We start from the raw sequence: 26,102 nt of genomic DNA on the forward strand, positions 1-26,102 counted from the left end.
TTGCTGAGAACTTCCTCAAGAGTGGATGTTCTCAACAATCATAGAGCATTTTGCACAGGATACAAACATCTTCATGCTTTGTGCCCAGTTTTGGTACATTCACATAACTTTTTTCCCAGACAGTGCTCACCAATCTTCTCACACTCTTCTTCCATTTCCTGGCCAACTAGCCACCCAACAGTGACTGCCTCTAAATCAGTCTGAACCTCAGGCCATTTCTCTTCCCAGGCATACTAAATAGCAAGACTTCCTGCTCCAAGTTTTGCCCACGAGAGAGGCTATCTCTTCATCACTTTTCTTTAGGTCCACCTTTGGGTGAGGCTGCAGTAGAATAGCAATCCATGGCTGGCCAGTACCAGCATATGATGTGACCCAGGTCAGTTTTTCTTTCTCAGCCAAATGGTCATAGGAACTCCCTTGTAGGTCACATGGGTGAATTGAGAGAGGCAGTGATAGTCCCAGCTATTTCACCTGAAAATGAAATCAATTATATTGCACCCTTTCAAAAGGCTGCCTCTCTCTTCTAGTCCCTGGAATTACCTACTTGTCACTCTTCTCAGTCATCACATCTTAGGGGGTGTTAGGAAATCCTCCATTTGGAATATCTTTAGCCCTTCACGTGGGTGCTGTTTTCAGGGGCTGGGAATTGCTTTACTAAGTTTCCACTTTGAACTCCTCAGTAGGCCTGCATTTTTTTTTTTTTTTTTGACTGCACAGACTTGTAACTTGTGGAGTCCTAATTTTTGAATCTGGATCTTCACCTTGAAATATAATTTCTCCGAAGAGTTCTTTTCCATGGGGATAATTGTTACCCTCTCTGGTCAAAGCACACATAGGCACGCGTCTGGAGGTGGGACTTGGGAAATCCAGCCTCCAGCAGTTTCCTCATTTCTTCCTTATTTCCACTTTTATCACAGTAAACTTCCAGTGTCTCTGCTATTGCTCAAAAATTTATCTTGGGGAAGAGAATTAGTATTTGATAATTCCAGAAATCATGAGAATAACTGATGCTGGACATTTTTCTACAGATGACCTCAACCTCTTGGCCATTTGCTCTGTGTTTCACACAGGACTTTACTGAAGACTCTAAGGAGGACCTGTATCTGTTGGGATCCTCAGGGCAAGCCACAGAAACAAGCTTTGGATACTAGAAGCAGAAAATGGAGATATTGAAGACTATTGTGGAGTTTACTGTGAGCCAGAGAACCAGGCTGGGGGGCTGTATCACTTAGAATGAGATCCAAACTCACACCATAGTTCCATCCTTGAGGTTGCCATGTTGCTGCCACCCCTCCTGCCACCCCACCACTGAAGCTTTGGATGCTGGATTCTGGGCACAGCAGGGAGAAGTGTTGCTTATTACCATTTTAGTATGTTTTCTTTCAAGACCTTTTCAAAATATACATACGTATTTTTATTTCTATTCAAAATGGGATACATTTTTGAAGGTTAGCAATATATTGTGAACATTTTCTTTCCATGCTCAGAAACATTTTTCTATAATGTAATTTATAGTGATATAAACTATCTCATAGACCTACCATAGTTTACCTAACAAATCCCAAATCATTTGTGCCATTTCTAAATTTTTATTATTTTATGTAATGCTTTAATGAACATCCTTGCATTTATATTTTATACAATTTTAGAAGTGGAATTACTGGTTCAAAATACATGGTGATTTTTAATTCTTCTGTTGAATATTGACAAATTGCAATCCTGAGAGTTATCTTGAAGGATAGAGTACATGCCCAGGGTTCTTTTTTAAGAAATAATTTGTAATGTGAAACAGAATAGGCTAAATGTTTTTTATTCTCTTAGTCCTACTCTGTCATTCTGCAGAGTTTCACTTATTTGGATTCAAATTCTAATTCCAGCCTACCTCTCTTTTTATATAATTGTTAGGAGGATTAAATTAGATGCATAAAATTGCTGCTTACTACATACATTGCACAAACTAAAAACTTTTCAAAGGTTAACTGTTTTTCTGGTTTATTTTTAAGACACAGGTTCTTGCTCTGTTGCCCAGGCTGGAGTGCAGTGGTGTGATCACGGCTCACTATAGCCTCATCCTGCTGCACTGAAGTGATCCTCTTGCCTCAGCCTCCTGAGTAGCTAGGACTACAGGCACGTGCCACCATACCCAGCTATTTTTTTAAAAATACATTTTTGTTGAGGCTGGGTCCCCTTTGTTGTCCAGGCTGGTCTTAAGCTCCTGGCCTCAAGCAATCCTTCCACTTCTACCTCCCAAAGTGTTGAGATTAGAGGTGTGAGCCACTCCACCTGACCCAAAGGTTAACTATTATTATTGTTATTATTAGTCTGTTTTTTTCCATTCATTTCCTCATTAGTCAACTTTTATTGTTTCAATGTTATTTTATTGTTTTTCAAAGACTCCTTATAGTCACAATATGTACATAATAAATTTTACCCTTTAAGGACACTGAGGTTCCAAATGAAAATGATATTTTTAAGGTGAAACAATTATAGATAGAAAAACAACTTTTTTTTCTGTGAGTACTAGATTTCATATTATCCTTAATGTCTTTCTAGGTAGTAACCAAGTGATTTCTCATAAACTGGAAAACATTATTCCCACTGATATTCTTAAAAACATTTAGGATTAAAAAATGTATTTTAAATTCTTCTTGACAGAAATCATTTATTGCAATTACATTGCCAATTCATATATATATTACATATATGTCACCTTGACTTATAGTAACCTGAAGGGGAAATTTGTAGGTTTAGCAAATCCCTTCGAGTAACACCCACAGAACTGAAATCTTATTCCATTTCTTGGTGGTCTTCTACCAATCCAGTCCTCCTGAGGACCATAAAAACTATTGGTTCCTCTCCTAAACTGCTGTAAAATATATCCTGTGAGACCCAGGGGAAAATCTTTCTGAGGTTGAGCATTCCATGGAGACTCAATATTCCAGATTTTGAAATGTAGCTAGAAGTGGAAATGGATTTATTTCTCAGGATCTCTTTGTTCATAATTAAGGATATAAAAAATAGAGTTCAGAATGTGAGTGAAATGTAACTGAAAAGGAAAGCCTTGATTTTACATATAAAATATCTTTACCAGATGGGTGAAGTAAGGTAACTTAAGACAATACTTAAAATTCAATAACAATGATGAAACTATGAAATACAAAACTTCTGGCACCCATAAGCTAGTTCCTAGAAAGAAGGTTATCATATATTGTTAATGTGTTCACACACTTAACAAATATTAATGTGTTCATTACATTTAAGGCATGAGAACTTACACATCATTCAATGGTGATATTAATAATAATTCAGTAATCATTAATGATGTACATGCTGTTAATAACCACAGGGCAAGTTTATTTTTCTGTTTTCTCTGAGTTCACTTGACTTTCCCTAATTTCTGAAGAATTCATTCTTTTCTTTGTGTGCTAAGAAAGAAAGGCATTAATATTTATTTAATTTTAGTCATTCATTTAAATATAGTCTATCTTGTTCTAAAATGTATTTATGGCCAACATGTTTCTATTTGTTGTCAAGAATTCTTTAATAATTTGTGTATTTTTCTAGCAGTATTGTCTTCCATTTTTCCCTCCACTCATTGGGAAAAATTGCTGATTTCTTTCTTTCCCTTCCTCAAAGTCATCAAATATAGAACACAATCCCTTGTGTGCTCAATAAAATATCCCTATGGAATTCAAAGTCTTTGATAACATTTAAATTTGGTCTTGGGTTGCAGTGACATAGACTTAGTTATCACATTGGCACTCGCTTAATTAAACCTTTCTGCATGATTGAAAACCCTGGTTCCAATGTCTTGAGTTCTGAGATCTGTTTCAGCAGAAAAAGCCCATTTTTTTGTTATGCATTCAAGGCTTGTGTTCTTTAACTGTATTCTGGAGAGAAGGGAAGGCATTCACAGTTTTTGAGTATCTACCATATGAATTATTTTTTTTCTTAGTAATCCTCACAGTCACCTTTTGTTTTATTACCTTGTCCATTTTAAGAATGTGTAAAAAAGTGTAATGCTAATTAGTAAAGCTGAGATTCAAATCCAGCTTCACCTTCATTTTTTCAAACAGCAAACATGTATCATATGCCTTATTGTATAAGAAAAGTTGTCCTAAGTTGTCCTAAGTTATAGAAGTGCTATAGTGGTAGAATTGATTGCAAAGTTGCTTCATATTCTGCAATACTGTTGCTGAAACTATTTTAGGTATGTCCTTGGTATTTCTCAAATATTAGAATTCTAATGTAGTAAAATCAAATTTAATTTGCAACTGAATCATGCACAAACTAAACAGCAGCAAACAAAAATACACTGATCGTGTCTACACTGGCATGGTCATTAACAGTGACAAGGTCTTCATGTAGTCTGGTTTAGTCTGAGAATCTGCAGCCTGGAATATTCATCTGGACTCAAAGCAAATACTCAGCTGGTATGTTCCAGTACACCCATAGCCAGAGGTAGATTTTCATGAAACTGATCATATGAAACTTATTTATACTTAGGATCCTGGTAGAGGCCCTAGTAATAATCTTTTTTCCTGTTTTTTTCTTTTCTTTATTTGTGAAAGTAAGACAATTTGTATTTATTTTCTTCATGGACATATTCCAAATTGTATAAATGTTAGTCTGAACAAATCATTTATCCATGTCTAGTTGTATTAATTTTAAAAATATTGACCTACTTATATAACTGGTTAATTAGTCCTCAGGCATTATCCCTACACTCTAGCTCCAAGGGCTTCTCCTTAGAAATCATCTGGATATCTTTATGATCCAGCAACGGAAAGATCATATCAGCACAGCAGGGAGACTGCAGGACTGTGCCCCAGGTCCAAGGGTGGCATCTGTTTGGATTGGTTGTTACATGTGCTGTTATCAGTGGTTAAATATTTTGAATATCACCCCAAGTAAACCTGAAAATCTAACTAAATTTCAAAACTCTCATAGCTATTGAAGGACACTCTTAAAGCAACTCCAACTATTTTGTCAGGATATATTATTCATATGTAGAATAGCTGTATATGTGTGCATATATACAGCATGTTTGTGTGTGTGCATGTGTGTGTGTGTGTGTGTGTATGAGTAGAATAGTCCTAAAGGAATGTTCAACATTAAACATAAAATGCCAAGGAATCTTCTGAGGTATTGGTATTTTCTGTTTCTTATCTGTGTGCTGATTATAGAGGTATGTTAAGTTTGTGAAAATTCAGAGAGCTATACAATTATGTGCAATTTTGGCATTACATTATCATTAAATACAAAGTTTAAAAAAATGGAGTAATAGTTTTCCAAAGAGATTGTACTAATTTATATTCCCACCAGCAATGTATTTAACGTAGGCCTTTAAAGGAAATTCTAAAAGAAAATACAAACATATCCGTAATTTTACCAACAAAATACATCTCTTTTTAATTTTTATGTATCCCTTACCATTTTGGCAATTTTTAAAAATAATCCTTTTTTGAGCTAAGAAGAGAGAATGAGGACAAGTTAGATACAATCGCAGCTCATTGTCATGTGTCTACAAATAATATTTACTAATAGAATACTAGATTAAATTTTGCCTGTTAACCATATCATATAAAAATGGCTGGGTACATTTTTACAAAACTTGGAGTTTACGTTTAAGATGGCTTGACCTAAAAGTGTAGTTTACCTAGCATACAAAGAATTTCTCTTGTAAGTCACGCAATTTTGCAAAGACATATGTAATTATTATCCAGAGCAGCTGATGTAAGGCTAATTGGGAGAAAAAAAGACGTATAAAAGCAGGTGCTACTGACAGAAAGAACAAGCTGTGTTTTCAGCACAACCTCCAATTGGAACGACCCAAGGTGGACACTTAGAATGGAAGGCTGCTCCTCACAATGGCATCGACAACTAGGACATCCTTCCTGACTCTTCCCTTGAGTCCTTGAGTTCTTCACACTCCGCTGCTTTCCTCCTACCTCATCTTTCTTTCTTTCTTTCTTTTTTTTAGTTTGTTTTTCTGTCTCCTTCTTGTCCTATTTGTAATTCTCCCCTGTTCCTCTGTGCTGTCCTGGGCTTCTTCTCTTCTTCCTACCTTCTCCTTCTCTAAGCGAACTTTTTCAGTCCTGTTTTTCAAACGCTCTTTTTGGGGGATGACTCCCAAATCACCTTCTTCCAACAAATCTCTCCTGAGCTCCAGACCTTCTACCAGCTGCTGATCTGACACCTCCACTTTCACACCTCAGGAGCAGTTGAAACTTAAAATCTATTGATTCCTACTCTTCTTCAATCAAGTCCTGCTTTATTTTTTTTATTTTTATGTTTTGGTAAGTGATACCATCATCCACCTAGTTGTTTATTCTATTTATTTATTTATTTAGAGACAGAGTCTCACTCTGTTGCCCAGGCTGGAGTGTAGTGGCATGATCTCAGCTCACTGCAGCCTCCGCCTCCTGGGTTCAAGCCATTTACCAGCCTCAGCCTCCTGAGTAGCTGGGACTACAGGTGTGTACCACCAGGCCCGATGTATTTTTAGTAGAGATGAGCTTTTGCCATGTTGGCCAGGCTGATCTCAAGCTCCTGACCTCAAGTGATCTGCCCACCTCAGTCTCCCAAAGTGCCGGGATTACAGAAATGAGCCACTGTGCCCAGCCTACCTAGTTCAAGCCAGAAGCTGCCATATTACTTTTGATTTTTTTCTGTCTCAAGCTCCATATCAAATCCACCATAACGTCCTAAAGATTTAATTTTGCAAATGTACCTCCGGCTTGCCCATCTCTTTCCATGTCCTCTGTTGTCATCTGCCCTAGTTCATGATTGGGTCATTTTTGGCCTGGATTAATAAAATATGTTTCTCCCTGGTCTCCTTACTTCTTCATTTGTTCTTTCTAATCCATTATTCACCCTGCAGCTAGAATGGTTCTTTTAAAGGGTAAATCTGATCATGCCACTTCCTGGTTCAAAACCCTAAACGGCCTGCTAGTTCATGCAGCATAGAAGTTCAAAATCCTCATTGTGAACCATAGGGATCTACATGATCAGGCTGCTGCTACACTTTCCAGCGTCTCCTTCCATCTCTCGCATATTTATTACTGTCCTATCACACTGGTCTTATTTCAGTTCTTCAAACTAGCCTGCATTTTCATCTTCCCAAGATGTTTTTATTCGCATTTCTTTAGATAGTTCTAACTCACTCTTTGGGCCTAAAAGGAAGTGTCAGTTTCCCAGAAAACTTTTCCTCACCTCATTCCCTCATCTACATCAAATCCCCTGACAGACTGTCTTATAGTGTCTTGTGCTTTTCCTTCACAGCACCCAACACTGGTTGTGGTTATACTCATATTTCTGAGATCATTGTCTTAATGTCACTTTCTCTTGGGACATTAAGAAAAAATTTTGGAAATATACATGCTACTTGAGGGCGAGGGACAGTGACGTTTTTTCAACCTGGCCTGGACTAGATGTTTATGAAAATTTACTGAATAAATGAATGCATCAATTAAATATTTATTGGGTATCTTCTGTTCAGCACACTAATTGTCTTGAAGGAAGAAAAAACAGATTCACTCAAAATAAGTTGAAACTTCTAAACTACCAGACCTCTAAACAATTAGAGGATAAAGGATGACAGTAGGCAATTAAGTGCTAAAATGTGTGGTACAGAGTGAAACTGCTAGAGGAATGCTAGGGAGGAAGAGATCATCTGGGGTTCCAACCACTAGGCGAGTCTTCCCTGAATAGGTGGGGCTTCCATGCACATAGAATTTGGTCACTTCAAACAACAAATATAATTTTTTACTCTCCCATAGCCAAGCCTTAATTATAACAATTATTGATTTTTTTTACAGCAGTTCTTTTGTGGTTGTAAAAGGCTTCATAAATATGTTATTATTTAAAATTCCTTTTTCATCTTGACATAGTCATATGTTTCTTTGCTTTTTGTACCACTGGTTTGAGTGACATCAGGAAATACTGCTTTTGCTCTAGAGAGACTGTCCTAAATTGGAGCCTTCAGAAGGAATGGCGTTCATGGCACCAAAGTGACACCCCCTTCCCACCCCCAGCAGCAGATGAAATATTTCAAAGGGGACATCTGCCACCACCAGTGAGATTTTACGGAGTACCCACACATGTAGACTCACTAAAGTGGGCATGACAGCTGAAAAATATTAAAAGTGTGTGTGTTTTTAAAAACAACTTATGGTTAGGAATTAAGAAATGACTTTTAAATAAGAACAGAATTTTTTTTTTTTTTGCAAGTGTATACTTTTTTTTTCTTTTTTCTTTTTTTTCTTTTTTTTTTTGTTGAAGACCCCACACTTGCAAAACCTTTTAGGTCATGTGTTTGCTTTACGAAACATTTGGCAAGTAATAGGTGCCATGGGAATATATCCACTCCATCTGGAATCAGCAGATCCTCCTGGTTTCACTGTACCTGAATTACCACCAGTCCCCATGGCTTACAAATGTTTTTGTTTTCTGTCTTTAATAAATTTTGGATGCAATAATTAAATGGAGGAGTCTTAGTAAAGTCAGTTCTTCCTTAACATTTTGTAAGGCAAATCTTAGGGAAGAAAGCAAATGCATATTTGCCAATTTGATGTTTACAAAAATGAAACCTGCATGGAATGGAATTACTTATTTTCTCAGAAGAGCATTTCCTTTCATAAAATGAAGCCCAGTGAATACACGTTATTTTTGACCTAGTTCCCCCCCACCCCACCCTAGTAGAAAACTTTTTAAAGGCATTTAATTTTATTTGGATAATCACAAGTTATGGGTCATGTTGTCCTAACTTTTATGTTCCTTTTAAAAATTGAACAGATATTGAAACTGGAAAGAGGATTTCGTTATCTGATCCATTTATGGTCAGAGCAAGATTGTTTCTTGCTATATATTTTTGGATTTTTAATTTTTGTCATCAACTGAGGATGGTTATATCACTTCACAAATAGCTTTCTAGATTTCCACTGCTTTAATCATTTTGTTTTGCTTTGCCTTGCTTTATTTTGCTTTATTTTATTTTATTTTATTTTATTTTATTTTATTTTATTTTATTTTAAGGGGGAGGTCATGTACAAAATCAGGCTTATAATCTCACAAATACAGCATCCCTTGTTTGATATTTGGATCTTTCTTCTTTCATTTTGGCAAGAAATACTGTGGGAATAAGTGTTTCTGCCAAGTATCAGTTATTTAAATATTTCATTATCTCACAAAATAAAAAAGAAGATGGAAAAAAATAGCTTCTTTAAGACAATTGGACAAAGACAAATTCCTGATCTATCTGAAGCCCGAGTTCTTGCCCTTTCTTTAGAACACTAGACTTTTTAGAAAGTCCCTTTTAAAAGTTTTGAAAGTATTCATACTATTAAATCCAGTTATGACAATTGAAGATAGTTTTCTAAGAAACAAATCTTGGTGTCAAAGAAAGAGCTTTCTTCCTATGTAAGCAAAAGCAAAACAAAATGGAATAGCAACAACCAAGAAAAATATAATAATAAAGTATTAACCTTAATACATTATTATTAGGAGGAAGAAAACACCGCACACACACACACACACACACACACACACACACACACACACAGGCACAATTTTTCATTGATCTTCAATAGCTCCTCTTTCTTATTACACATATCTTACTATACTTATATGTCTAATTGAAAAGACTCAAAAGACCAATAGTGATAAGAAGAACTGGGATTGTGTGTGTGTGAGAGAGAGAGAGAAAGAGAGAGCAAGCAAAAGAGAGAGAAAGCAGACTGCACAAAACCAAATATCCCGTATGGAAATTAACTATTTTTATGTGCTAAAACTTTTTGCTTAATTGCTGCAAAATACAACTTTGTATTTGGTGATGAGCTTATAAACCTGAAGATTTTGGCTGCTAAAGATAGTAAAAATCTAAGTATATCTAAATAGGTCTAGTTTTACTATTAACAATATATTATCTGATGTATCTGGCAAGAAACATTTCAGCCAGTTGTGGTGGCTCAGCCCAGAAATCCCAGCACTTTGGGAGGCCGAGTTGGGCAGATCGCCTGAGGTCAGGAGTTTGAGACCAACCTGGCCAACATGGTGAAACCCTGTCTATACTAAAAATGCAAAAATTAGCTGGGCGTGGTGGCGGGCACCTGTAATCCCTACTACTCAGGAGGTTGAGGTAGGAGAATTGCTTGAACCCAGGAGATGGAGGTTGCAGCGAGCCAAGAATGCGCCACTGCACTCCAGCCTGGGCAACAGGGCAAGACTCCATCTCAAAAAAAAAAACAAAAAAAACAAATCATTTTTAATAAAACACATTTATAGTTTGTATTTATTTCATGTACCACTTTACAATTGTGGCATCTATATCTTTATCTACAGGCTTGCCAAAACATAACTTAAAAAAAAAGTAAAAGAAAGAATACATTTTGCAAATGGAATCTTATAAGAATATTGCCTATAATGGTGAGGCATTTAAGATTGCTTCTTTTGGATCGAATTCCAGGGACTAATTATTGATAGTTTCAGAATGTCCTTGCTTTTAATCCATGTCAGCCATCTGACAAATCCTTAACGTGTATATAAAGGAAGCATATTGTCAATTTCCAGTATATTATTATTTAATTATATTTTAATTTCCTAATGACAGATGGAATCCCTTTATATGCCAGCCTGTTGCTCTATGCTTCAGCTTAAATTCCTATGTTAAAATAAAGTGAATTCTTCTATTTCAGTCTAGAACAATAGTTTTCTGAACGAAGGGGATTGAGCCTGAGAAGCTGGAAATATTCAAAACACTTCTGCACAAAATTCCGTATATGCCATTGGATATAATTTGAATATCAGTAACTTACACATCAGAGCTATGTCAAATATAAAGCTCTAATTTTAGGCCAGGTGCGGTGGCTTATGCCTGTAATCCCAGCACTTTGGGAGGCCAAGGCAGGAGGATTACCTGAGGTCAGGAGTTCAAGACCAGCCTGGCCAAGATGGTGAAACCCTGTCTCTACTAAAAATACAAAAATCAGCCAGGCATGTTGGTGGGTGCCTGTGATCCCAGCTACTTGAGAGGCTGAGGCAGAGAATTGCTTGAACCCAGGAGGCAGTGGTTGCAGTGAGCCAAGATCACGCCATGCACTCTAGCCTGGGGGACAGAGCTAGACTTCATCTCAAAAAAAAAAAAAAAAAGGTCTAATTTTAGTGGTTGGAAAATCATATTTTAGACATTGTTTTTTAGACATTTTTATTTAAAAGCTTTCAATAGCTTACCCTTTCAATAGCTTACCCTTTTACTTTTTATATAACATGTCTCTATTTTTAAAATATAAAAGGAATACTCTTTTTTCTTGTCTTTGAAAACAAATTAAGGAATAAAAGATTCCTTTCGGCATAAATACGCATTATTAGACTTAGGAGAAAAATGTAAGGTTAAGTATAGTACCAAATTTTTAGTTCAAGATGTTTTGTTTGTTTGAGACAGGATCTCGCTCTGTTGCCGAGGCTGGAGTGCAGTGGTGTGATCACAGCTCACTGCAGCCTCGACCTCCTGGGCTCAAGTGATCCTCCGGCCTTAGCCCAGCAAGTAGCTGAAACAAGAGGTGTGTACCACCATGCCTGGTTAATTTTTATAGAGACAGTTTCACCGTGTTGTCCAGGCTGGTCTTGAATTCCTGGTCTCAAGCAATCTACCCTCCTCGACTTCCTAAAGTGCTGGGACTACAAGAGTCAGCCACCATGATCACTTTTCATACCTGAAAAGATTTTGCTTATTAGACCGCCTGTTATGCATATAACTTTATTCAGTAGCAATTTTTTTACTTTTATTATTATTTTTAGTGGACATATAATGATTCTATGTATTTATGGGGTACAGTGTGATATTTCAATACATGTATGCAATATGTAAGCTCAAATCAGGGTAATTAGCATAGCCATCACCTCAAACATTATTATTTCTTTGTTTTCTTGGAAACACTTGAAACCTACTCTTCTAGGTATTTGAAAATATACAATAAATTGTTGATTATAGTGACCCGATAGTCCCATAAAACATTAGCACGTATTCCTCCTATCCAGCTGGAGCTCCTCATCGGTTAACCAATCTCTGGCTATCCCTCTCTTTCCTCTACTTTTGCCTGCCTCTGATAACTACTATTCTACTGTCTACTTCTATGGAATCTACATTTTTAGCTTCTGCATATGAGTGAGAACATGTGTTGCTTCTAAAGATGAAAAAAATGCGAGTATATTAGAGATTATAGAACAGACTCAACCCTTATAATACCTGTGACTTTAGCTTATACTTACAGGATTTTCTTCTCAACAATTATTTATGGGGACAATCCTATGAAACCCAGTTATGGTAAAACTCCAGTTTGTACGTTTTCATATGCTAAGGATCAGGGGAAACCTTGGGCAAGATTACACTCCACAAATCTTAGATGACACAAAATATTAAGTTATGAAAATTATATATATATGTTATATATGTTATATATCTTATATATACATATGTTATATATACATGTTATATATATATAAAAGTGCATCTGACTTTATTCATAAAACAGGTTTAGTTATTTGTAAATCTTTAAAAATAGCTTATTCTCTGGTATTATGACCCAGAAGATCTTCCATGAAATAAGTAAATTTTGAGACATTCTCCTTCTATGAGTTATGGTTTTAGTAACTAATGAATTATCTCCTTGTCTGGGATGTCTTAGTTTAGTCACACACACACACACACACAGACACACACACACACACACAAACTTGGTATCTTTTTAAAAAAATTTATGTTGGTCAAGGCATTTAAAATGTGGGATATGGGAAGAGATGGATATAACATTTTGAGGCCTGAAAAGTATGAAGTTTTGGAACCTCCCCCTCCCCTGAGAAGAAGAATGCAAAATTATAAATATAAAAATAGGTACAGGATCTTGGAGGCTATCTTTGCTAGTGAGGTGCCGAGATGCTGAAGCTTAAAGATTAAGGCCTTTCCGTGAAGCTTCAGATTCTTTTCTCATCTCCTTTTTTCCTCCTGCACTTTATTCCCAAGGGGAAGAATTAACGTTGATGGTCAAAGACATTTATAATGCTAATGTGTTAATGTACTAGTCTATCTATCTGTGTCTCACTCCCTCTCTCTCATCATTTCTCACTCACTCTCTTGCTCTCCCTCAAACTCAGTTGTCTTTTTGTAGATTTTTAAAAATCATACCTTCCTTTTCCTGCAGTTTTAGGTTGGGATATATCTTGAGAAGACCTGGGGTGGGACAACTATGGTTTTTATTGAATAAGAAACTTTTACTTTCCCCTTTCTCCCTTGAGGTACTTTTCTTTGTACTCATTATTCCTTGTCATTGGGGTTTTTAGATATAGGAGACTAAGACTCTTTTAGGTATAGAGTTTAGGTCAAATGTCTCAAACCCAAAGCCAGGAGTGTGATGAGAATGCAGAAAATAGACCTGGAGTAAGAGAAAAAATGAGCGACAGAGGCTGGAATGTTTGCCTTCTGGTCAGAGCAGCCCAGATGTTCCCCGATAGGCAGTTGATTCTAGCGGTGCAGATCTTTGTTTTCTGTCCCCAGAAAAAGAAGCAGTGAGGCTTTGAAAATAAGAGACCAGCTAATTTTTAATGTTTGCAAGCAATTTAGTACGTCTAACAATACACTGACAGCCAAAACCTATATGAGCCTGTTGCAGTGAATGGTCATCAATTTGTAATCTAAAATCTATAGGCAAAGGGGAAAATGGGATTGTCAGTGGATTTGGGCTGCTTAATTCTGTCTATAGCTTAGGGAAAAGGAATCTCCTTATGGCCAGCATAGGTGTTCAGGGCTTTTGTCTACTACTTCTGAGGAATGAAGAACATGTATTCGCTTAGCCACAGCCACTGCACATATATATCTTCTGGAGAGATCTCAGGTGAAGTGAAGATGGAGATAGGACTGAGAGGAAGTGGCTGGTGGTAGGACAATATTCAGGCATTCATGATCTTAGATTTCTAATAAAATACCATTTCAATTCTACCTTACAGGGTATTAACTGCCTGTACTTTCTCTTTAGGAGATTTCTGCAGCTTATTCTTGGGATTTAATTTATAGAAACTATTTCTTAACCCTGTAGCTGAGGGATTTTATGGTTTCCAGTACATCCAGGACTGCCATGCTATTGAGGATTTTCATATTCCCACATTAAATGTAGAGAGGAGCCCGATTATACAGAATGCTTTTCCTGTCATTTGGCCTCTTGACATTTCCCGTATGTTCTATAACTGAGCCTGGCAGGGATTTTGTACGTAGTTTAAATCACTTAAAAAAAAGCAGGTCTGGAATCTCATTTCCTTTTTTCTCTAGGGAACATCCATGTTCTAAATTGACATCAACACATGATAGAAATTGGTCACTCCCTGATATAGTCTTTCAGGAATTTTTGCTATTTTAAGGCCTATTATTATTTCCAGCAGTTGCTACTTCATAATTCAGCAAAATACAGTCATCCAGAACTGTCTGACATATCAGTAGTTCTGTTCCTGGCCTTAACTCCCTGGTAGCTAGCCCTGCCACTTAACACAGACATGATAGGGGGCAAGAGCTTATGGGCTTTGAGTCTAAGAAAAAATGTAGTCCAATCTGTTTCCACTCCTCTCTCTTTACTTTTCCTAGGAATCTAGGTTTGTTTGGTAACTCTCAGCAGCCTTATCTGAATGGAGTCAATCAAGTTTTTAGACTGCATCCTGCCTCTGCCAGTCTAACTGCATCTGCAACAATTTTTTTGTGTGTGCAAAATGAGGGGTGAGAACAGTGAAGACAGTGAAGAAGAGAACAGACAAAGAAAACTCACAGGGTTTTTTGCAAGATACAAAATAATAACAGAGAATATAGGCAAGAGACACATATGAGACTATAAGAAGAAATCAATAGGGAGGAGTTAGAAAAAAATGTATGCTCAATTACAATATTTTTGCTCCTTCCTAACTTCTAAAGAGCATTTGAGTGTTTTGCAGAATTTCTTCAATTCTACATGAGGGTACTTAGTGGAATAAGTTTTGTTTGTTTGTTTGTTTGTTTGTTTTTGAGATGGAGTGTGGCTCTTGTTGCCCAGGCTGGAGTGCAATGGCATGATCTCGGCTCACTGTAACCTCCGTCTCCTGGGTTCAAGCAATTCTTCTGCCTCAGCCTCCTGAGTAGCTGGAATTACAGGTGCCCACCATCACCTTTCTTTAGAAAGAATTTAAATTTTTAAATTCTTAAAATTTTGTATTTTTAGTGGAGACTGAGTTTTGCCATGTTGGCCAGGCTGGTCTCGAACCCCTAACTTCACATGATCTGCCTGCCTCGGCCTCCCAAAGTGCTGGGATTACAGACATGAGCCACTGCGCCCCGCCTGAGTATTTTTTTTATTACTTATTTATGTTCATTATGCTAGTTCACTATAAGATTTTACATCCACCTGGTTGCTAAATTAATGCTTCATAGGACAGAATACTTACTGACAACCCAATCTTACATTCTTCCTATAAATGCTTTTGTTTTGTTTTCGAGGTTTTTGAATCTCTGAGGTTTCAAAACATGGATAACTGAAGATTCATTAACTTAGGCACTAATGAGTTTCTAAATAAAGGTTTGCATGGATGCAGCCTTATGTACTTAAAAATTTAGCCAACTTCAGAGAATAAATCAACCGAGCATGGCAGGAAAGAGCATGCGAGGACTCTGCAGCTGCAAGGACTTTTTAAAAAAGTAATTGAAAAGAGGTCATTTTCAACCATAGTTTATAGCATATCAGTTTGTAGTAGGTGGTGGGGACTGATTCTGAGCTGTTGTTTGCTTAGATGACTAAGTTGTCATTTTTAATTAGCTTTATGCTTTTCTTAAAGGCTAATTGCTTTTTTTTAAAAAATCAGGATTGCTTGATTGCTAATGACAAGGGTGCTATGGTTACATATTTTTTACAGAAAATTCTCCAACCTACCAGGTTGTACAGAACTATATGTCTTTTGGGTTTCTTTTACAATAATGTACATGTTTTTAAAACCAGAAAAATACATATTTACTAATAATATTAGTAAAATAAAACATCTTGTTTTTGGCAAGAGGATCACTGCTAACATATTTAACAAAACATAAACAAACATTCATGGTCCTATTTGGAGTTAAAATATATTTTATATCTCCATTTCCTTACAACTAGCATAATTTTCTGGACAAATACACTGCAACAGCCAAATAAGTATGCTGAATATAGAAGTCATTTTACTGATACCCCCTGTTGGGAGGTATATGCTATAGGGGGTTTTCTTATCCAACTCCTATTCTGAATCATACTGTGTCATCCACATTTTCTTATTGCTGTGACTTACTGTGTACAAGGTTTAGGTGAAAGGATAGCATCAGAGTGTTGTTTTTGACTGTAGGAGAGAGATTTTACTTCTGCAGAGCTAATTGGTTCCTCAATTAACAGGTAATGTTGTTTGTTACCTCTCTAGGAAGCAGCCAGGTGAGTTAAACACCTCAGATTAATAATGTTCAAATTTTCATGGAGTACTCTCAGGTTGCACATTTTCTGATCACCTACTACATGGCAGGCACTGTTCATGCCACTGAACAAAACAGATGAAAACCCCTGTCCACAGGGAACTTAGAATCTAGTGGGAGAAAACAGATGATAAATAAAATGAGTAGGTAAATGAAGTGGAACATGAGAAGGCAATAAGTGTTATGAGGAAAAAAATGACATAGGGAAGGGAGAGGTGCCGGTGAGAGTAGGAGAATTGCAATGTCAACGGGGAGGCCAAAGATGGATTCATTTAGAAGGTGATATTTAAACACAGATTTGAAGGAAGTGAGCTCAGGGATATGTGGGAGAGCAGTGCAGATAAAGACAACTGCACGTGCAGAAGCCCAGGGGTGGGAGTGCCTGGTATGTTCATGGAAGAGCAAGGTTGCTGTAGCATGAGAGAGCAACAAGGAAGATACACAGGAGATTAGGTGAGAGTGATAAGGTGGGATGAATCTTACGCAGCCTCAGAGACCCTCAGAAGGATTTTGGGTTTCATGGTTCAGGAGAGGGGAAGGAGGGTGCTGAGTGAGGGAATGCCAGGATCTCATTTAGGATCTAACAAGAGTACTCTCCTGAAGAGAGAACAAATGGAGGACGACAAGGCTATAGGCTGAGGGATCATTTCTGAAGCTAGTGCAATAGTCCAGGCAGAGAAAGTGAATTTTGTTCTATCTTTAATGTTTCTCCAGTTATCACAGTAGAAAACATTAGTTCATTACCCTCACAGAGAAAATTGTGGTGAAGCATTGAGAAGTCACTAGAAGCTCTGAACGTGACTCCATTCTTCACACTTTCTCCAGTCATAGAATTCACCACAGGGAAAGCCTTCCATCGAACCTGTGATATTTTGGTAAATATGTAATTATACATGCAGCATCTTCATATGTTCTTTTCAGCAAACAATTAATATAAACCAGATGTGTGGTGAGTCAGAATCCTCTCTGGAGGCTGTCCTGAGAAAGTAAAGACATATTGATTTAGAGGCCACACCTGCAGTTCTTGCTGCTGTTTGCTGCTTCTGCTGCAGCTTTGACATCAGCTGCTTAAGGAAAGCCTCTGCTTCCAAAATCCTCTCTTCTTGATTAAGTGGAGGAACTCTGGGTCAAGAAGATTCTTTAATCACTTCATTGCAAAGCACAGAGCATCAAGAAATGACATCGTCTTATAGGAGCTCACTAAACCCCACCTGATATTTAACATGATCTGCTTGCTTTATAGTGAGCTCAAAGCAATCACTTCTAAAGTTATCTGTGAAAATAAAGACTCAGAAAATGTAAGAACAGGTAGGAGTATTTGAAAGGTTTCGAGTAAATATAAAACCTTGCACTGTTTTCCTGATAAACCAAGAAATACGGACTTTCACTGTAAGCAAGACTGTACACTTAAGATATTTAAAAGAGGGGGGGGCGGAAATGGCTTTATTAAGTGGACAAGTAGTCAAGGAAAAGGTTGGGAATATTGGGAATTAAATTATTTATTATAGTAATCCAAAATCATAGCCAAACAAAGCTCTAGACATGACTCAGATGTAAACATTTTTTTTCTTTTAATTTCTCTTTTTGGTCATTTAAGTGATGAGTGAAACTTTAAGATTGATGAAAAGTACAGTGTTATAATAGTTTTCATAAAGAGTAAAAGTCTGATAATTTTTCAGGGTAATGGCAGTAACCATCCCACTTTGGGCATTGACTTTTTTTTTCAGATTTTAGTTATGTTGACCCAAATCATCACATCCAGATTATAATGTGAAGTCTCTACTTGTAATAATATTTTATTAATAAAGGTTATTAACCCATCACTAAATTTTTATCATGATTGGATCTTCACTTTTACAAAGAAATCCTGATTTCTTATTAACCATTCATGTTCAAGGTGGAGTAATTTGTGTACCTACTAAGGTAGGCAATTTGGATTGTTTTTCTCTTGGTCCAGATGAACTTACACTTCCTCTTTTAATCAATAGTCCAAGAGTATTTTGTCAATGGAAGTGATAGGTCCAAGCAAGAGCTTAGTATTTCAGGCTAGGGGAGCAAATGTACTAATATGGGAAAAAGTTATAAATGGGGATTATAAAATAAGCACTCTCTTAGGGCTATCATCTGAATATTGGTATCCATCCCCAAATTCATATGTTGAACTCCTACCTACCAAAGTAATGGTATGAGGAGGTGGGGTGTTTGGGGGATGATTAGATCATGAGAACTGAAACCTCATGATTTGGATTAGTGCTCTTATACAAGAGACCCCAGAGAGCTAATTGGCCCCTTTAACCATGTGAGGACACAGTAAAATGATTTCATCCGTAAGCCCGAGATCAGGCTCTTACCAGACACTGTATCTGCCAATGCCTTGATATTGGACTTCTCAGCCTCCAGAACGATAAGAAATAAATTTCTGTTGTTTATAAACTACCCAGTTTATGGTATTTTATAATAGCAGCCCAAACAGACTAAGGCCAAGAAAAAAAAACAAACTGGTATTTAGAAATTGATGTGCTGTGGTAACAAATACATAAATTGTGGAAGCGACCTTGAAACTGGGTAATGGGTAGAGACTGGGAGAATTTGGAGGAGCATGCCAGTACAAACCTTTATTGCTATGAGTGGACTTTTAAGGGTGGTTCTAGTGAGGACTCGAACCTAGTGGTTCTAGTGAGGAGCTGCAGAGAAAGCCTTAGTCCTCTTAGAGAATACCTAAGTGGTTGTTGTTCAGAATGTTGATGGAAATATGGGAAGTAATGGCCATTCTGATAAGGTGTCAGATGGAAATGAAGAACATGTTTTTGGAAACTGGAGGAAAAAAGATCCTTGTTATAAGAGGCAAAGAACTTGACTGAATTGTGTTTTTGTCCTAGTATTTTGCAGAAGGTAGAACTTGTGAACAATGTGGCTGTTTAGCTGAAGCTATTTTCAAGCAAAGTGTTGAAGGTGAGGCTTTGCTTCTCTTGACTGCCTATTGTAAAATGCAAGAGAGAGAAATGACATAAAGACAGAAGTGTTAATCAAAGAGGAAGCAGAACTTAAACACTTGAAAAATTCTCAGCCTGTCTGCATCATCAAAATGAAAACAAAAACAAAAACAAAAACAAAAATGTGTTCAGGAGAGAAGATGGGTGTGGCTAAAGCAGATTAGGGTGAATCAGCCATCTTAATGGAAGCTAGGACCTATTGTTTTAAAGATTGGAAAGTTGGACATCTCTTCAGTGTTGTCCTCTACTACTTGTGGTGTAGCACTAGGGTCTGAGAATACTCAGCACTGCCAAATTTCTCTACTTCCCCTACAAATTACTTGAACTTTTTGTTCTTCCATTTTCTCTCCCAATAAAAATTTATAATAGATTATTCCACAAATATGAAGGGTGATAGAAATGATAATGCTTTCTTTTTTTAATCTCTGGACAAGATAAATGACTCAAGGGTAAGGAAATGCCTATTTGTTCTTCTTCTTCATTTTTTTTTTTTAGGAAAGAAGAATAAATTAATTTCATTTGAAGAAACCCAGATGTCCTTAAAATAAGCTGTGACTGCCAAAAGAGTTCTTTAGAAATTCTCTGATGAGTCAAAATTCCAAGGTTCTTTCCCATGTTGGCTTGTGTGGTTCCCTAATATTGCTTTGGGTTAGGTCAGACTGATAAGGGATCTCTCACTAAAATGTTCCTACAATCCTCTCAGTTGTCAACCGGTTTTTTGAATTCAGGATTTCTCCAAAATCTTATCCCATCAGGTCATTTTTCATTTCTCACTGATCCCTGAGCTGAGCTGCACGTTAAACAATAAAGGGAACAGTATTTATACAAATGTTGATTGATTCAAATACTAATTGGCAATATATGTGTGCAGTAGTTTCCTTCAATATATGTTATAATATTCATAACTAGTCTCATGTCCAGGATAGCAGACATTATGTATTTGGACACTATTTGTTATACTTCATTTAATTATCTCTCATAGATTATCAATAGAGCATTTTAAAAAAATGAATAAGTGCATGCAGAGTGCTTCTCCATAACCAAATGGGTGTGTGTAATTTTTTCTTTGGTAAAATTTCCCAGAGACCCTTCTCTGAGATAGTCATTTAAATGATAGTGATCTTTGGATGATTTTGTTAGGATTAGATAATAAGGGTATGACTCATAAACATGTCATTTCAATCTGGGAACAAGTAACTATAACCCACTCTCTCTAGCCAAAAACCTCTCATTTTCATGGCTTTCCCACCCCCACATAAATGGCATACACCTCCAGTCTTTACACTGGCAGGTTTTCTTAGAAAAATGACCCATTCCATGATGAAGAATACCTAAATCCCACAAGTAAAAGAAGCAGCCTGTTATTACTCTTCCTGTTCAGTACATGAAAAGCAAAGTATGTGAGAACCAGGCACAACCTGTAATTTGGTAGCCAAACAACAGATCTGTGCTGTAACAGGAAAAATAAAAATATAGTTCTACTTTGGTATTCTTGGATGGCCTGCCCTGGAGGAGTGAAACTGCTTGATTTTCTCACTTTCAGAACAATGTTCTTGTCTGCCACTAGATCCAACTGAAGAAGATCCCGCACATGGGAAGTTCTGTGTTTGTTTCCATTCCAAGGACTGAGATTCAGGAATATATGCTTTTTATTTCCTCTGCCACATATAAGGCCTTCCTCTACTGACACACATACTTTTCTCCTAAATGCATTTTAGGGTTGAACTGTTTTAGGCTGCATTTTCTTCTCTTTAAGCAAGGAACACTGTTGTCTCACTATCGGAGTGATCAGAATTCCTTCTATCTATGATTGACTGTAACTTGCCCTTGGCAGAACGGTTCTTCCTGCTTCAGTCTATAAGGCAATACAAAAAGATTGATAATGGGCCTTGTTCTATCAATACCAATGACATATGTTGACCTTTTTGACATATGTTGACCTACATATTTAGGTCTATAATTTTTAAGCACATGCATGTACATATATACCTATACCTATATATATATATATATATACACACATATATATATACACACATACACACAAATATATACTTGTATATATACACACATGAATATAGATATATACATATACTGTATTAGTCAGGGTTCTCTAGAGAGACAGAACTAATAGGACATACATATATATAAAGGGGAGTTTATTAAGGAGCATCAACTCACACGATCACAAGGTCCCACAATAGACCATCTGCAAGCTGAAGAGCAAGGTCCCAAAGCTGTAGAACTTGGAGTCCAATGTTCGAGGGCAGGAAGCATCCAGCACAAAAGAAAGATGTAGGCTGGGAGGCTAAGCCAGTCTAGTCTTTTCACGTTTTTCTGCCAGCTTTATATTCTGGCCGTGCTGGCAGCTGATAGATGGTGCCCATCCAGATTAAGGGTGGGTCATATGTTGACCTACATATTTAGATCTATAGTTTTTAAACACATGCATGTACATACATACCTATACCTATGCCTCTACTGGGGATGGGGAAGCTATTTCTCCTGGCAAAGAAAGGTTCATTAGATTTACAAACTCAGTGTCCTCAGCTTCATCAGTGTCCTCCCACACATCCCCATTCCAAGTTGCAGGGTCCCATTCTTTCCCAATCAATGCCCTTACTTTAACAGTGGACACCCGGCAAGGCTGTGCATGCAGCTTTCATTGGAGGTCAGCTACTGGCATTACAAGAACTCATGTCTGATTTTCCACCATATCAGCTCTTTCTCTATGGGTGATAAGACTCTCACTCAGGGCAATCTTAGCAGATTTGAGGCTCAATATCTGCTTCTGAAGCTGGGAGTTAGAATCTCTGAGTTCATTTTCTTTCATCACTTTTTCCAGTGATTTTAGGAGCAACCAACCAACTTCATTGTGTTCTTTGGTTCTCCACATATGGTCAAGGTATTATGTATAGAGTCACTAAACTCCTCGCCTCTCATGAGTGGTGAATCAGGAGTGTCAAATGGATTTATTGTGTATAACTCTCTAAACAGTTCATGCCAAGGACTATCAGTGTTCTCCATGCCATTAGAAATAGAGTCCTTAGCATTTTGGGGTTTAATAATATTAAGCAGCCAACTCCAGAAACCCCAAAACCAATGAAAGAACTCCATCCTTAATATTCTCCATCCTCTAGAACCACTCCTGGTACCAAAATCTGTATTAGTTAGGGTTCTCTGAAAGGACAGAACTAATATCACACACACACACACACACACACACACACACACACACACATATATATATGAGTTATTAGGGAGTATTAACTCCCATGATCCCAGCCCACTGACTCAAATATTAATCTCTTTTGGCAACACCCTCACAGACACACCCAGGAGCAATACTTTGCATCCTTCAATCCAATCAAGTTGACACTCAGTATTAAACATCATATATGCCTATATAGTTTAATTGGGAAAATTCATATTTGCCTTGGTTCTTATAATAGCAACAAAAATGATGAAAACATTGTTATTATTGTATAACTCTCACTGAGGACAACATTTTTTAAAATAGATAATGGGAATTTGACACAGTTGCAAGAGAAATAGCTTTTAATCCAAGGAATCCCCAAAGCACAAATCATTCTATGAAAATGTTAGGAATCTGAGGCTCAAAGAAGAGACTTGAAGCCTTGCCAATAGTCCTTTATCTAGAAAGCAATCTGGAGCCTAACCAGGGATTTGACTTTCAGACCAGTGAGTTCCTTTTTCCAGGTTGCTTTTAACCTGAAGTGTTTAGATCACAAGTGTTACTGGTTCTTTACTTCCTTAGCATTCAGTCCCACTGAACTTTTTATTGAGTAGTGTGTATATCATAACAAAATCTCAGCACTCTAAAAAATTGCAAAATTCTTTCTATTGTTAAACAGAATTGTATCAGCATCATGATACAATTTGATGGGGGAGTATGCATTCATAAGACAGTATCACGAGACAGATAATAAAGTATTTTCCTGGTAGATGGAAAATCTAAAGAATCTTCTGGTGGGTTGATATGTCATGAGAAGAAATAAAATGTAACTAATTCCAGCAAACCTTTGTATTAACACATGTAACAAGAGGAGACAAAAACTAGGTTTGTCCATCATTTCCCTTGGCTTTATTCTAAATTGGCGCAGTTAACCTCTGTGTTTCTGAAGGGCTAAATTGCTGTTACTTCTCCTATTCCCTCTGGGCCTAGGAAAGGCAGATCAATGAGGACAAAAAATACTTTTGTGTTTCAGGAACACGAGGGGGATCAATTAAGGTGCCAAAGCTGAGCTAATGCTTTGAGTTGAGGAGGCGGTATTATAAGGGCGTTTAGAGAAGAGAGGTGTTCTGAAAGTGTTGTAGGTCTTTCTGAGGCTAGAAGGCACCATCAGTCTCTCCAGTGGGAGATATTCTTGACCCTAAGATGCCAATATCATTCATGAGGTAGTCTAGGGATTCTAGAGGTGGGGACTTAACATTAGTAACTATGGCCATAAGGGTCACAGTGAACAATATCCATCCCGGCAAAGAAGACTCCTGAGGGCCCCATCTGAGAAATAGTAACAGCAAAGTCCTGTGTGGACCAATGACCAGAGTGCCCTGCTCCAAATGTTCTGGAGTGACCCAAGAAGAACTCGAGCCTAAACAAAACTTCCTTCCAGAAATATAGGAGGGAACTCGGAGCAGATTCATGATTAAGATAAATTTAAAAAGAACTTGGGAACTCAATTTCATTCAACTAACCAAAAGCCTTGCCCACTCAGATCAATTCTATTTTCCTTTTTTTGTCTTCGTGCATATCCTCCATCTAAACTTTGTTTGAGGTGAGAAAGATAGGTTGAGGAAAAAACCATGAAAGTTATTTCCTGGCATCTCACCCAGGAATGAGTGATGAACAGAGCCTGGAAACAACTTTAAAAGCCAATTTCTTTGCTCATATGAGGTCATGAGGTTGCTCTTTGCAACTCTCTGGGCACCAGAATGAATGAAAGTGGCACAAAACACACCCAAGGTTTATCATTGATTTACAGTGATTGATGGCTGGTCTTGTCTGATTGTGCTACATTGGCAAACCATCCATCATCCCAAACAAACTCTGTACTCCATAGTCCAATATACAGTTACATGTGGCCAAAGGGTTTAGGATTTTTCTTTCTCTTTCTTTCTTTCTTCTTCTTTTTTTTTCCCCCAGAGAGCAGTTGGTGGTGGGGTGGGAGGAGAAAGAGAACAAGTTGCTTCCTTTTACAAAACTGCAAAGTAGTTGTCTGTTAAGAAGAAAGTACTCTGATGACACATGCTGAATTCCTGTTAAGTTTATGTAGGAGTTTATTCATTTCCATTAAGCAAACCACATTTTCGACATTTCCCACACTTTCCTTAGGCTGGGTCTTCCTCAAGATTTTTTTTTTTATAAGGCCTAATATTTGTCCTTCTCAGAGAATCAGTCATTCCTAATTCCCAGACCAATCGTGGATGGAGACAGGAAGTTCATTTTTGTAAGATACCTAGAAATGATTATTGAAGTACTCATTACTCAAAACATAGAAGATAATGTATAAGGAAAGAGATGTAACACGCAATCCCTTCTTAACTTTAAGATCCCTACATCTCAAAGAGTAACCTCACTCTTTCCTTCCCCTATGTTTCCTAGGAGTTGATATTCATAAGTAGTTAGCTGTAATTACATCTTTTACCCATTTAATATAAAAGTAAGATCATGCTGTGTATGAGGTTGCCCATTTTTCCCCACATAAGATTATATTTTGAGTGTTTCAACCAGGTCATTGCAAAATCTTCAAATGCCTGATTCTTCAGGATGACCAGGAATGTATTAGCATCTTCTGACTGACTCAGCTGGGTTAAGTGGACTGCTTGGGGTGTGCCACTGCAGCACTGAGGTTGAGTCCACCCATTCTGAATCACCAGTGCTGTTATCTCACCCATGACATGACTTCTCCTGCTCACCTCTGAGCTCTAGGGGTCAGTTCAGGATCTAGCTCACTCCTCACACCCTGCAGTGCCTCTAGTCACAGAATCTCAGGTCCAACTTTGCTGCAGGTGCCATAGTTCCTAGAACTTGGCTTTTTCCTCAGTCATCATTCAGGCCCCTGTTTTTAGACAGTCATGAGGACCAGGCTTTGCTCTGTCCATGTGTGGTACCTCTCCACATCTCTTTTCTATACATCCATCCTTTTAGAATGCCAAGAGAGATGCTGTTCTGGCTTGACGTTGGAGTATCACTTTCTTAGATCTCCCCTTATTCTTCCTCGCCTCCCCGATGCTGCATTCTGACAATCTCTTAGCAAGTTCCACTGTGCCCTGGACCCTGGTATTATGCCAGTGTCATGATTGTGTGTAGCTCTATTACATGGATACACTCCTTTTTCCTAGCTATTAACCTCAGTCCTGCCTTCTACCATCATCAACTCCTAATTCCTACATAAACAAATTTACTGTGGCTTCAGTAGCTGTAAGCTAGTTGGTTGAAGGAATTGCACCAGGTTCGTTGATACCCAGATTCTCCCTCTTTGGGTAGTTCTATCAAAGTGACATATCATCTGGATGCCTTTTATGACTTCTAGTGTTAACATCTCCCCAGAGGCTTCCTCTTGGCTCATTGACTTAAACTACGGGAA

The 26,102-nt window shown here is 37.5% G+C and overlaps 2 long non-coding RNA genes across 2 annotated transcripts in view; both read left to right on the plus strand.

Annotated features, from left to right (window-relative positions):
* Positions 1 to 5,276, plus strand: part of TEX41 (testis expressed 41) — a 408,763-nt gene extending 403,487 nt beyond the window's left edge. Inside the window, exon 5 of the long non-coding RNA NR_033870.2 lies at positions 1,071 to 5,276. This is a non-coding gene — a long non-coding RNA (testis expressed 41). The remainder of the gene's footprint in view (positions 1 to 1,070) is intronic.
* The window catches only part of LOC100505498 (uncharacterized), a 257,710-nt gene that overhangs the window by 65,053 nt on the left and 166,555 nt on the right, over positions 1 to 26,102 (plus strand). The window lies entirely within an intron of this gene.

Source organism: Homo sapiens, chromosome 2 (genome assembly GCF_000001405.40).
Source record: "Homo sapiens chromosome 2, GRCh38.p14 Primary Assembly".
Lineage (NCBI taxonomy): Eukaryota > Metazoa > Chordata > Mammalia > Primates > Hominidae > Homo > Homo sapiens.